This window comes from Homo sapiens, chromosome 1, assembly GCF_000001405.40.
Source record: "Homo sapiens chromosome 1, GRCh38.p14 Primary Assembly".
NCBI lineage: Eukaryota > Metazoa > Chordata > Mammalia > Primates > Hominidae > Homo > Homo sapiens.
In genome coordinates this window covers 59393313-59407210 of record NC_000001.11, presented here as the reverse complement: position 1 = coordinate 59407210, position 13898 = coordinate 59393313, and the positions used below count along the sequence as shown (strand labels likewise).

At 39.5% G+C, this 13898-nt stretch overlaps 1 protein-coding gene across 56 annotated transcripts in view; it reads right to left on the bottom strand.

Annotated features, from left to right (window-relative positions):
* Positions 1-13898, bottom strand: part of FGGY (FGGY carbohydrate kinase domain containing) — a 466353-nt gene that overhangs the window by 355520 nt on the left and 96935 nt on the right. Inside the window, exon 1 of one of the 56 annotated variants that reach the window (XM_017001677.2) lies at positions 1-13898. This exon is cut by the window's left edge and continues 20222 nt beyond it. The exons of the other annotated variants lie outside the window; for them this stretch is intronic. The gene's annotated coding sequence lies outside the window, so the exon portion shown is untranslated. 56 annotated transcript variants of the gene reach the window in all.

Genomic DNA, 13898 nt, shown 5'->3' with positions numbered 1-13898 from the left:
AGGAAGAAGGCAGGGCTAAAGCTCGAGACCCAGGACCAACCAGCCGATGACAGAGCCATGGAGGACCCAACCTGCAGGTGGGATAGCTGTAGAGGGGCCACTGCCAGAGATGCTGCCCAAGGCAGACAGAGGGAGGGACAAATACTCCAGCTTCTCTTTCTCTTGCCTTGCCATCTCCCACTGATGACAAATTGTCAGGGGGCAGGGGTCAACCCCCTGTAACACAGCACCCTTGCAGAGCAGGGCAAGGGTGACAAATGGATCTCAGTGCAAACAGCCCAAAGGCCAACACAATTGATAAGTTAAAAGACAGGTTGCAGAATCGTGTATCATGTGATATCATAATTGCTAAATATATGCATATATAATTTAAGTAAATATATGCATATCATATACACACAGATTGAGGTAACAAGAGATGGAAAGATCAAGCAAGAGCAAGGAGAAAAGGAGAAAGATACATGGCTGACCTTATTATTTTTGGTAGTCTCCAAAAACATTAAATTAGGGAACACTGGACCATTGTTCCTAAGGGAAATACAGGGCTAGGTTCCTCTGAGCCTCCAGTTATATTTTTGCCAACTCATCAATACGCAACCCTGTTTCATGTGTATTCTTGCTTAAAAACAACTCATTTAATATATATTGTTGAGTCAATAACACTGAACTTACAGCCAACAGCACTTAACTCCTGCCTGAATGAAGCTTATCAAACACACGTTATTGTCTCTGTAAGGCACATCGCAGCTTTCTTGCACTGTACTTGAACACTACACAGTACTTTTGCACAATGCTTGGGGTGCATTTTAAATGGTGAAATCGCCAACAAAAAGCACAAAAATGAGAAAAACATGGCACGAGTAGACTTCGAAAAGGACACTTGTTTACACTATGAGAGCTGAAACAAGAAGGCAGGGTGTTGTGTTATTTGCCATCGGCTAGGAACACGCATGACGAGAGACTCAGAAATTATCCTCCTCTCTGAGCATTTCTGCGAATGACTGTGAAAGTGCCACAAGTATTGATTTGAGGGTTACAAATAAGATTTAGTAAGTAGGCAAATTTGCAAACAAAGAATCTGCAAATAATGAAGAATCAACTGTCTATTAACAGGCTTAAAAAAGCTTTTTAAAAAACATTTGTTCCTGGAAAATAGGAGATAGAATGCTTTTTGTTTCACTACATTTTTGTCTTCTTTTCTATCTTATTGTTCTCTAGTTTTTCTTCATTGAGCTTGCAATTAAGTGGGGAAGAGGACTCTAAATATCAGATTTCAAAAAGAAAAAAAAAAAAGCTAGGGGAAAAAGCACTAAGAAGTAGAATAATTTAGCCTAACGGGAGATCATCGTAACATAGCACCAGAGAGCAGAGCAGGTCATCCTCACTGTGTGACATGAGGAGCAGTCTCAAAGTGTTTCCCACACCAAATTTCTACCACTCCTCTAGCCAACCAACCAAGTGGGGCAAATGACTAAGGTCGACTGGGGGGTAGGCTAAAGGTGGGAGGTTCATACAAGTTACCTTCCTGAGTAGGTATCTAACATTCCATGGGACAGGTTAGCCTGGACTTATAGACTCACACCTTCCCCATCCATCTCTAAAAAAAAATCTTATTTTATGCTCATTCGATGTTTACTAGTGAGATGATGTAAGTTTTAGTTCAATTCAGTAAATACCACTAAGCCCCTACAATGCAGAAATTATTGTACAAGGTGCTACTAGCCATAAAACACCTTTTTGTCAGGTTTTACCTGTTTTCTATGTACAAATCTACTCTAGCAACTCAAAAAATTAAAAATCTAATTTGTGAGATTCTTCAACTTCCAACCAGGAATAAGTTGCAGAATTGAAAAACCTGCAACCAGGAATAAGTTACAGAATCGAAAAAGCATCAGGATAGCACAAAAGCATAGTAATTTAGCTCTCTGTTCATTTCTTATGCCATTAACAAGCAACTTTTAATCTTTAATCCTCCCTCACTAAGCTGCTTTTACTATCCCATCTGCTCCTCTTGCTCATGCCTTCAGGATCTTATAATTAAATTCTAATTAAAGTTTAAGGCATGTAATAAAGAAAACACTTGCGGAATGCCTTTGATTCAAGAGGCCAAATAACATTTCAGCAGTTTGAAAAATGAATTATATCCTTTTGCTTAACAAGCATCTTTAAAATGGAATTAAAATGGGAAATTCCAATCTTTCGTGATTTCACCAGGCATACATTATGTAAATATGCTCATCATCACGTGTTGCATTTAAGTCAGCTGAAAACAGCCTGAAGAGAACTCAGCCCAGCATGCACAGCGTGGATGTGAGCTCAGCGGCAGTACGTGGAGAAGACCTGTCCTGAACACCACCTCGGTACCCAGACACACGGACATTGGTGTGGTGCAGCAGCATCTATCTAGCAGACACCCAGATGCTAGGTTCTCACCCTCCTCATCTAACTTCTCACCAAACTCAATCAAGCCTACCTTACCAGAAGCTTCCAGATCTGTCTCTTCTGCTCAGATTTAGCAGAAGAGACACTGGTTTAGCCCTCCAACATCCCTTGAATTAGTTCAACACTTCTCCCCCTCCAGCCTCAGCCCCCTGCTGCAATCCATGCTCCACTCTGGGAGGCCAACTACTGCCTTTCTGAGGCATCATTCTGATTGGGCTGTTCTACGCTCAACAACTACCTGTGCTCTATCTGCTTTAATAATTAGTGACCCCCAGCACTTTATGGATAACTCTATACCCTACTAAATAATTTTGATTTATTTAGTAGTCTATTTTTCCTCTAGTCTTTGAGCTAGCCTCTTAAGGACTGACGCTGTCCTGGAAAGAAAAAATGTATTTTTTTTTCTTAAGTTCCGGGATACATGTGCATGCCGTGCAGGTTTGTTACACAGGGAAATGTGTGCGTGGTGGATTGCTGCATCCATCAACCCATCACTGAGGTATTAAGCACCACATGCATTAGCTATTTATCCTGATGCTCTCCCTCCTGTGGCCCCGCCCCCCGACAGGCTCCAGTGTGTGTTGTTCCCCTCCCAAAGGTATATTTTTTTACCTGGAAAGTAAAAAAGGTAATTTACTTTATAAACTCAAACAACACTTATCAAACTCTTCCAGAAGCATCCAGTTCCCTTGCAAGTTGTATTTGGTTCTACTTTTTGACTACAGGTTACAAATTAAACATCATCATTATGAATTATATAATTTTATCTTATATAATTATTATTAATAACAACTGATGTGCCAGACACTGTTTGAAGTGCTTTACGATGTTATTCAGGTTCTCACAACCACCCTGTGAGGCATGTCCTATTATCATCTGAGATGAGGAAACTGAGAAACAGAAAGTTAAGGTACTTGTCCAAGATCACAGAGGTGTGAAGCAGAGAGGCCGGGGCTTACAGCCATGCAGTCTGGCTCCAGAGCCCACATCAGAAACACTCCTTAAGCCCAAAGCCTGAGTAAAGCACGTGAGGACTTTGTGTTCTCTTCTCTAAATGCTCCCCAACACACAACCTGTGATCTGGCTAGACTCACGTGCCCAACGCTTTGTGGATGCACCAAGGTCTTTCATGCCTCTGCTTTCCCATATGCTGTCCTTTTGCCAGGTGGCCCCCATACCCACCTGGCAGATTCTTGATCATCCTTCAAGTCCGAGTTCAGTCACTTCCTATCTTGTGAGGTATTTCCTCATTCCCTGGATAGACCTGATTGCTCTTCATTTTGCTACTACAGACTAGAATCTGCCAGACTCTTGTTATGGTGCTAATTATACTGCAATGCAATCGTCTGGAGGAGTCTGCTTTCTGCTCAGTGTCCCCTAAAGGCAGGGCACACAGCCGGACTTTACTAAATATGTGAGGAGTAAAGAAATGAATGGGTTCTCTACATTTGTACACTGGACATAGACAAAGCATAGTCTAGGCTTGTCAAAGTCAGTATAGAGAAAAATGTTACCTTCTCTGGTATGATTTATAGAGAGGAAGACAAAAATAAAAAAGTAATTTAATTTAAAAACTCAAAAAGCACTTGTCAAACGCTTTCAGAAGCATCCAGCACACTGGTAACTCATAGCTTCTTTTACTCTTTGACTATCAAAATGTGTCAGTCCCTTTCTTCCACAACTCTATAACCTTTAAGAGGGGCCCCATCCAGACCATGGCAAGCCCCAAAACAATAGGCTTAGACTCACACGTGACAGTCTGGACTTGACAGTGCAATCTGTATCCTAGCAATGAGTCCTGGGCCTCAGGAGCCCGGGACCCCCATACCCAGGCTTTCCTGATGCTTGCCCTCTCAGGGAGGTAAGCATCTTCACCCAGACTTGATGGGTACTCCAGAGCTCTACTAAGAATGAAGCCTTTTCCATGACCCTATGCCCCTATGATTCTTACTTCGTTTTGCCAAATAATCCTCCCAAGGAATGTTACTCCCTCACCTCCCAATACTAGCTTGTTTCTGTTCCTGGTGGACCAGTCACTCTGAACCACAGAGCTGCTACCCTGTCTCAAGGCTCAGTGTCCCTAATGCCTGGAAATCCCTAAACCCTGTTTCCTGCTTAGTGAATAATTACCAAGCTTATTCCAAATACTAAGCAATATGTACCAATAAATAGTAACTCTTTTATATAGCTGTATCTCAAATTCTTCAGAGTCCGCAAAAACATATAATTATATTAATTAATCCATTCAACAAATCTTTACCAAATGTCTACTATGCAACAGGCAAGATGATGTCAGATGACACGCCTACTATCACACTGCTGATAATTAGCAGAGGTCAAATATGCAAACAGATCTTTTCATCTCCTGTGATGTAGCCCACTCTTGGTCCTACATCTTTGTCCTTAAAGACATGAAGATGCATTAGGGAAAGGCAAGCACTCAGAAATCTAATAATATCACTTTTTACCATGGTAGATAAGTATACACGGCTGACCCATCCCTTCACAATACCCCAAGCTACATGTCCGTGCTCTGTCCACTCCACACTGTCGACCATTTCCTAAAGAGGCAACGAATGTTCACATCTTCTTTCATGTTCATGCTTTTGTCCATCATGTCCTGACTTCACCTGTCCACTGTACTCGCCCCTACATATCCAACTCATTAGCTACCACTTCCTGCACTAAGTGATGAAGACACACAATTTACCTCTGCAGTCAGAAAGCTTATAGCCTAGTGGGAGGTAAGGACAAGTAAATAAATCGAAACACTGAATAGTATGCCCAAGACAAGGAAAAACACAGAACGCCATGGTACCTTGGAAGCAAGGCCTGGGCCCCAGTCTTGGTGCACCTCTCTGAGGCCCCACTCTCCCCCATTCCTTCCTCCTCCTCTCCATAATCCTACCACGATTCACTGTTCCTCATGTTTCCTTTATTGTACTGTTCATTCCTTAGTCACAAGACTTTTCACATTGAGTCATGACTTATGACTTGATTATTTATCTCTATTACTAGAATCAATTCCTTGAGGGAATTCATTAGTTTAACTGGCCAATACTTGTTGAGTGGCTTACAAGACTATAGTAGTTAAAAGCATGAGTTTTGTTTTATCACTTAAATCCTGGCAAGGACTTATTAACCATTCGACTCTGGGCAGGGTTACTTAATATCTCTGCCTCACAACATTTTCCGTATCTCTAAAATGGGGTTGTTCAACAAGAAATATACTCAAGTTTAACATGGCAACAATGTTCACCAAAATCACTACCAGTTTCGTCTTTGGTCTGTCTCTGGCATTGCCTATTTCAACACGGGCATGATCAATGTGCATGATCAATGACAATGTGATAGCAAGGGTCTCCATCATATCAAGACATTGTTACAATGTCAGTAATACAAAGCAGTTTGGAATTTATTGTTAATAACATAATATTCACTTCCAAAAACAGGTAAGCAATTTAGATCTAATCTAGGGTGAAAAAACCTACTTATGGGCTTTATACATTGAAGATGCATCCCTTAGTTGAATATTATGACAGAAAAATGTTATCAATGCTGACATTAAAAACTGTTATTATGTGCCAATTATTAGGAAATTTTAAATAATTTAACAGGATAAGATTAATAGTTAAACCGAACACTAAGAAAGAGAGTATTAGCTACTTGACGAAGAACATTGTATATTTTTTGAGACTATGAATTTTTATAAAATGTCAAATAATACAAAGCAAAATACTACTAAAATGAGATATTATAATTCTCATCTTTATGGAACTGCTTAGTTCTCATACTCATAACATATATAAAATAATAATTAAGAATTACAGAGGCCAAGCATGGTGGCTCATGCCTTTAATCCCAAGCACTCTGAGAGGCTGAGGAGGGCAGATTGCTCGAGCCTGGGAGGTCAAGGCTGCAGTGAGCCATGATCACGCCACTGCACTTGAGCCTGGGTGACAGAGCAAGACCCTATCTCAAAAATAAAAAATAAAAATAATTATATAAAATATTTGGTTTAGTTCTACTTATGTCAAGAGTCTTTCAAGGTAACATTCTATTTGGGAATTCCTCATAGTTTATAAAGAAGAGTTAAAAGCAGAATGTCAACCTTACTATTTCCACATTGCACAAGGAAAACTCCAAAATATGTTACAAGAACACTAATGACAAATCATCCTGATATAAACTTAACAAAAAATACAGAATACAAAAAAAAAAAACAAAACAGAATTGTTAGAGAAAAAAATGAAGGTCTCAAAACGTACTTTGTGCTTACTTTAAAATTACAAATTTTAAAGTATGCCATAAGAGGATATTTCCTCAAAGTTTTGAGGCTATGAAGGATGTGACACTGATATTCAGGTGAGAAGTCATGTCTAGAATACATATTTATGACGTAAGTCACAATAAGCAATCACTGGTGTTCTTTAAGGTAGGTGGTAAGCATGCAGCTTAGATTGTAGGAGGTTGAGTGAATGGGTGAATAAATGAAAGGAGTGGGTGTTTATCATTCACAAGGGAGATCTGACTACAAAAGGAGAGAAATGGGGCAGTGGCCTGCAGCCCAATTCTGCAGTGCTTTCACTTATTAAGACAGAAAATACAGGCTGAAATATCATGAAACATATTACATCTGCACACACCAGACTAAGGGATTGTTGCTGTTTCTGGTACCAAAAATGTATTAATATATATAATGCTGACTCCACCTTACCATCCAAAACACACTTGGTTTCTAAACACTTAGCTTTAACTAAGCCAGTTTCCTCAACAACTTTGAGAACAGAAAAGCAAAACTTTGAGGCCAAGGCATTTTCATGTTCAAGTCCATCCACGATTTTGAACATTTGTGATGTTCCTTACAAAGCACCCAGATTGAGCATCTATACACTTCTAGACTGAACAGAATGGAAAGTACACATACACACATCAATACCTGAGTGTATATATACTGTGTCAGATCACAAGTGTGATTCTGAAGTTCTCAGAAATGCAAGAATCCATTCTTAAGAAGTGTCTTTTAATCTCTAAAGATATATGCATGGCATAAGGAACACAAAGAAAAAAATTATATTATATGGAAAGCTCTAATTGGAGAGGATAATATCATTGTATATCATGTCAAGAATGCACAGTAAGTGCTAGATACTTTATGTACAATATTTAATCCTTACAAAGAGCTATTGTCATCCCTATTACAAATGATGAAACTGTGGTTCAGGGGAACCTAAGTAGGTAACCAAAAACAAGAATTCAGAGAGTCCGCTTTGCCAGTAATCTAACTCTGTTACTATGGGAAAGTTTCTTAACTTCTCTAAACCTTACCTAACTCATCTATAAAATGAGTATAATCATACCTATTTAAGAAAGTTAAAGGAATAAGTGATAAATAATCACTTATATCCTGGGCCTAATATAATGCCTGACATATAAGTATTATTCAATAAATAGCATCTGTGTTGACTGTTACTGTTATTGCCCAAGACGACACAACAAGCAAGGGACAAAGGGGTATTTAAACTCATATTTATTAGACTGATTCTAAAACCGATGCAAACAATAGCATTTGAGGACTATCCCAGCATTACTGTGTCAATGCTTTAAATGTATTAACACAATCATCACAATAACTCTATAAAATAGGAACTATTATGCCCACTATACAGATGAAGAAACTGAGATACAAAGAGGCCCAATTGTAAATCTCTATTGGAAACTTGACCAGGCTTCCTTTACACCCAATGTTAGGTACTTCCAATAACATATGATTCTAATAAATACCATCACCACATGCATTTATATTTCATAATGATACATCCACATTTTGAAGCCACATACATTGCCACAAACATGTTTTGGGAATAGCAGGGATACAGAAAAGGACACTGTTTTGAGTTCTTTGAGAAGACAGTCACTATATAAATAGAAGTTAATATTATTATTACTATTTTGCAAAGACATGACCAAGTTGCAATTAGGAATTTTACAATTTAATCAGCAAATGAGGTTCTAGTATAATCAAACTGGACTTCTCTCTAGATTTTCTCATTCTGAAAAATTTCAACATCTGAATTATTTAAAGTATACCCAAGAGTGGTCCCCAAAACTGGATATGAACTGATGCTCACAACCAAAAGCCCACAAATGGAGGTAAACAGGAAGGTCAACATATCCCATTTTCCCATGGCAAATGGCCTCTGAAAACACTTTTTAAAAATACTTTTACAACCTGGGCATGGTGGCTCATGCCTGTAATACCAGAACTTTGGAAGGCTGAGGCAGGTGGATCATTTGAGGTTAGGAGTTCAAGACCAGCCTGGCCAATATGGTGAAACACCATCTCTACTAAAAATACAAAAATTAGCCAGGCGTGGTGGCGTGCACCTGTAGTCCCAGCTACTCAGGAGACTGAGGCAGGAAAATCGATTGAGCCTGGGAAGCAGAGGTTGCAGTGCACTGAGACTGTGCCACTGCACAATCCAGACTGACTGAGTGAAACCATGTCTCAAAAAAAAAAATTTTTTTTTACAGTAAAATCATGATCAACAATAATTAGACAAAATTGACTGTAGCTGGAGAAAAATGCTGCCATGAGTGGCTAAAACATGTGCAACCTATAATAAAAGGACACAGGATCATCATGTAAGTTGAGGCCTCACAGACTCAACCCATCTATAATCCCATCCCATTAAGACCAGAAGAAGCAGCTGGCTTCTCCCAAAACAAGTCCTGGAGAAACAAAATTAGAAGGGCCCCCATCCTTTAGATGTGTTCTTGAAAATATCAAGTTCTTGATCTGGATGGGTTTTTACAGACAGTTGACAGGTCAGACCTGACTGAGTAGATGCTATTTCAAAGGTCAAAGAGTTGGCAAAATGGATATGACTGTTGTCAAATAGGAATGAGCTCCCTTTGAAGTCTGAGGCTTAGATGGGCTGATTCCGAAGTACTCCCTGTGAATGAGCAAAGGCAAGGGTAAAAAGTAAAAATGCTGTCCCGTGTAAGCTGAGACCTTTTTTAAACTAATACAGGGTATACTGCCCCGCCCTTTTATGGGGCACAACCTGCCATTAAAATCTTGGTGAAAAGGAACCACCCACCCACCTGTGAAGTGGGATGGTGCTGGCAAATAGTCACAACAAACACTTCACTGCCTACACCCTGCAGATGTCTGCAAAAAAAAGCCTTCCTCAAAGTCTTCCTACATCCAGTATAGTCCACTAGTATCTGCCTTGCCCTCTATTTACTTGTGCTTACCTGCTTTCTTTCCTCCATGGTTTGTATTCTAGTCTGTGGATAAATCTAGCCAAACTTGTTGTGATACCACCAAATACATGAGTTGTTTCTGTGGCTGTTATTCAGGAAGTTTCACTATGTTGTTTGTTATCTGAACCTGCTCTTTCAGTTTAGTAAATCAGACTAATATTCCACCTCGTAAATCAGAAACACAACGCCACGTCCCTTGTCCCAGCAGCCCTGGTAGCCGTGGAATGGAATACCAGTGGAATTAAGGGAAGTTCCTGCAGACTCAAATATCACAGAAATGCAATAATTTGTCTTTATTAATAGAAGGTCAAATACCATGTATCTCTGACAGTTGCATCAATATTTGTACAGTCCTTGGGTCTTGACTTTCAGCAATGGCCTCTTTAACAGAAAAAAACTTAAGTCTAAATCCTGACATTGTTAAATCACTTTTAGATACCTTTCTTTTAAAAAAAAAAAAAAAGCAGACTCAAGACATAATGCATTCAAACTGGTGCCTAGTTTTCTCTGCAACTGAACCTCCCAGAATTTCGATCCTTGGAATACCAGCCATTGTGGAATGCTGTGGATTCCTTGTTGCTCTGCAAAATCTATAATCCATTTCTTAGAACACTCACTGGTAAATATGCTAGTGACTAACTCTATCTCTTACAGCTTCCTTCAGTATAGATACAACAAGCATGAATTGAGTGCTCATCATGCATCTCCATAAATTCTCACATCATTAAAACATTAGTAATATTATCCCCATTTTAAAGATGAGGGAACTGTTGCTCAGAAAAATTACTTTCCTAGAATCACATAGATAGAGAGACTGAACTGGGATTCCAAGTCCAGTTTGAAGTCCAGTGTCCCTTTTTTCTACCATTTGTAAACCAACAGTCCAAAGGACCTGAGGCCACTTCTAGGAAGTGCGATAACATCAAACTTTGATTCCCCACTCACTGATTCTGCTACTTCCCCTTTCTCTGTTATCCCTGCACCTCTGGGCTCCTTCTTCACTCACCAGTTAGGGGAGTCTGAGACAGCAGGGCTGAATGGAGGAGGTACTATATTTTTTAAATTTCCTGATCCTAAAAGCTATCACAGGAAAAAAAAATCAAAAGAAACAAACACTGTCAAGCTACAGACACACCTGAAACCTTCAAAATTTCTCAGAAACTTTAGCAAAAACATTCACTGAGGTTAGAGCTTAGTCCCCACATTAATGTCACAAAAATCAGGAGTATGCAAAAGTGAGACACCCAAAATTATGACTTCTTAAGAAAAGCAAAAATCAGGGGTAAAATTCCAGAGAAAATGGCTGAGTCTTGGCCAGTGGTTCTCAAACTTTAGCATCCATCAGATTCTTCTGGAGGATTTTTTTAAAACACAAATTATTTGGTCCCACTCCCAAGAGTTTCTGATTGAGTAGGGTGGGAGTGAGGCCACAGAATTTGCATTTCCAATGTATTTCCAAGTGACGCTGCTCATGCTGCTGGTCTGAAGGCCATACTTCCAGAACAACTGGCTTAGGGTGATTATTTGCCTAATGAATGAACTCTTTACATTAGAGAAATAGGTCTCTGTTGGATTCCTTTAATAATTAGTTAACAAACAAGTACTAAGCTAATTAGTACTAATCAGAGGCAAGGAACCATTATGGCAAACAGCCTGAATTCTGGAGCCAGACTGCCCAGGTTAAAATCCCAACTCTGCCAATCATTGTGTGACCACCGGCAAGTTCCTTAGCCTCTTTTGAGTCTGTTTCTTTATCTGTAGAAAACAGATGATAATTATAATACATATAACATAAGAATATTGGGAGGACTGAAGGGGTTAATGTATCTAAAATACTCACAATAGTGGCCAGCATGTTAAGTGCTCTGTTAAGCATAAAATACAAGCACTATTATTATTATAATTTCTTCTACCTCTAGAACTGCCAACCACTGTATTAGGACTTGGGGATAGAGCTGTGAACAGAACATATATGGTCCCTGTACTCATGAAGTTACAACTAGCAAAGAAGATACAACTTAAACAGGTGTTTCCAAGCATTATCTGCTTAAATCAGAAGGCTGAATGCAGGGAAACAAAGAAAATGCTACAAAGTCATTACAGATTGGAGATCAATCAGGCATTAAAAACACCTTTTAAATTAGAATATACACCAAGGGAAAAATATAACTTTTCTGGAACAAACTATTGCAGCTTTTAAAATATAATGGTATGAAAAAAAACTCTTCCCAGTCGATTTCTCAGATTTCTCAACACCTAACACGTGTCATGCACTCTGTACCGGGGTTATAAAAGTGAATAGACTGTAGTATCTTCATCCAAAGACCTCCTAGGCTGTTAGAAGAAAAATGTATGTCAAGAAATAATTACACTACAATGAGAGAAGTTCTTGAAGAACTATAGGAAAAATGAAACAGTAGTGTGTAACTGCCCAAAAGAGTCTGTGTAACTGCCCAAAATTCACAAATAATATTTAAGTTGGGTCTCGAAGGGTGAATAGCAGTTGACAAGCAGAAAAAAGGGCAAATGATACTCTGCGGGGAGGAAACAGTACGTGCAAAGTCAAGAAGACATGAAAAGGCCTGGTTTGCCCAGAGATTGAGGAGATGTCTGATGTGGCTGAAAGGCTGGTGAGTGATAAGGACCAGCAGGAGATGAGCTTAGTCTCAGTGCTGTGAAAATATCACCAATTTTCTGAATAATGTGCATTTGGAGCTGTCTGGATAAGGGTTGAAGATGGTAAGGAAATAAATATGTAAAGTGATAGTCCATGGGTTTTTCAATGCAAATCTGAAGTTACCCTTGCACTATTCCCTCCAGAAGGTGAATATTTTAATGGTAGACAATAGTATTTAGCTCCATTTGCCTAGGTCTTATACGCCAGCAACAAATAATAAAAACAGCAGCAGGAATAGCTAATGTTGAGTCCTTAGCAGGTTGTACTATGAGCTTTATACACTTGAACCTGTTCAATCCCGCAACAAGCCCATGAAATATAAATAAGACAATGAAGTGCAGAAATGGTATGTAACGTGCTCAAGGTCACACAATAAGTCCCAGGGTGGGCATTTTACACCAGAGCCAAAGTTCAACCACTCACCCTCGAGTCTACTATCCTTCCTCCATGAAGGATGCTCTCGGATTTTGTAGGGCCTGAAGCTTTTATGTAAAGGCTCTTTAAGAAAAGGAATACAATTATGAATATGAGATTAAGTACAATAGTGATATTTATTTACAGTAAGAAAAAAGTTTAAAAACAAATACCTTGAGCTTTGAGGATGTAGGTCCCTTTTATCTGATCAGTGTACCCTTTGCAGGGCTGGATTAATGAAGTTTGCTTGATAGGGCACTAGGCCCATTATTGGCACTCACCTCTAGAACAAAGAAAAATACTGGCCCTTCCAAGGCAAAACAAAGGCAGACTTTTCCCCCAACAGATCCCTTTTCCTTTGTAAGAGACACTACGCAGACCTTTGGTCCTCCACTGAACTACATTTAAAATAGCTTTTGTGAAGGATAGACACAGTGGCCATTCTTATATATGTGTGTGCAAGCAGCAAAGAAGTGATTGTAATATGAACAATGTGTACTTCTTCCCACTTCTGACAGAATAGACGACATTGTGTCCTGAGCCTGGGAGGGGGTTGGGGGCCAAAATAAAGAAACCAAACCTTAAGTTTTATTACATGAAATTCTGATAAAAAGCACTTCGAAGCCTCTTTCCCATCATCAAAAAACCACACTGGGCAAGATCAGAGCTTAACAGCCAACAAAAAAACACATTCAATCCCTGAGATCATTTTCCTGAAATAGAAAACTACATATGTTTCTCAAATTTCACATCAAGCCACTGCAGAGGCCAGACTGCAGGGCTGATTTGGGCCAAAGTAAGTAAGAGAGAAGGGAGAGAGGAGGGGGATGGGGTGGGAAAGGGAGTAAACAGGAGAAAATGAGCCCGTTCTTCCACATCACCACATTTCTCTAGCACAATCTAAACTTACAAACACCCCCTGTTTCACAGAACTTGTAGTGAGGCTTGCTTATCGGGCAGCCTTTACTTTGTCAAATTAAGACACATTGCCTTGGATTAGCAAGACTCCTTAAATTCAAAATGACTTCACGGTTGGCTCAGAGTGCAGTGTCTCTAGGGCCAGCCGCCAGGAACACATCCACTGCAGAGGTCCCTC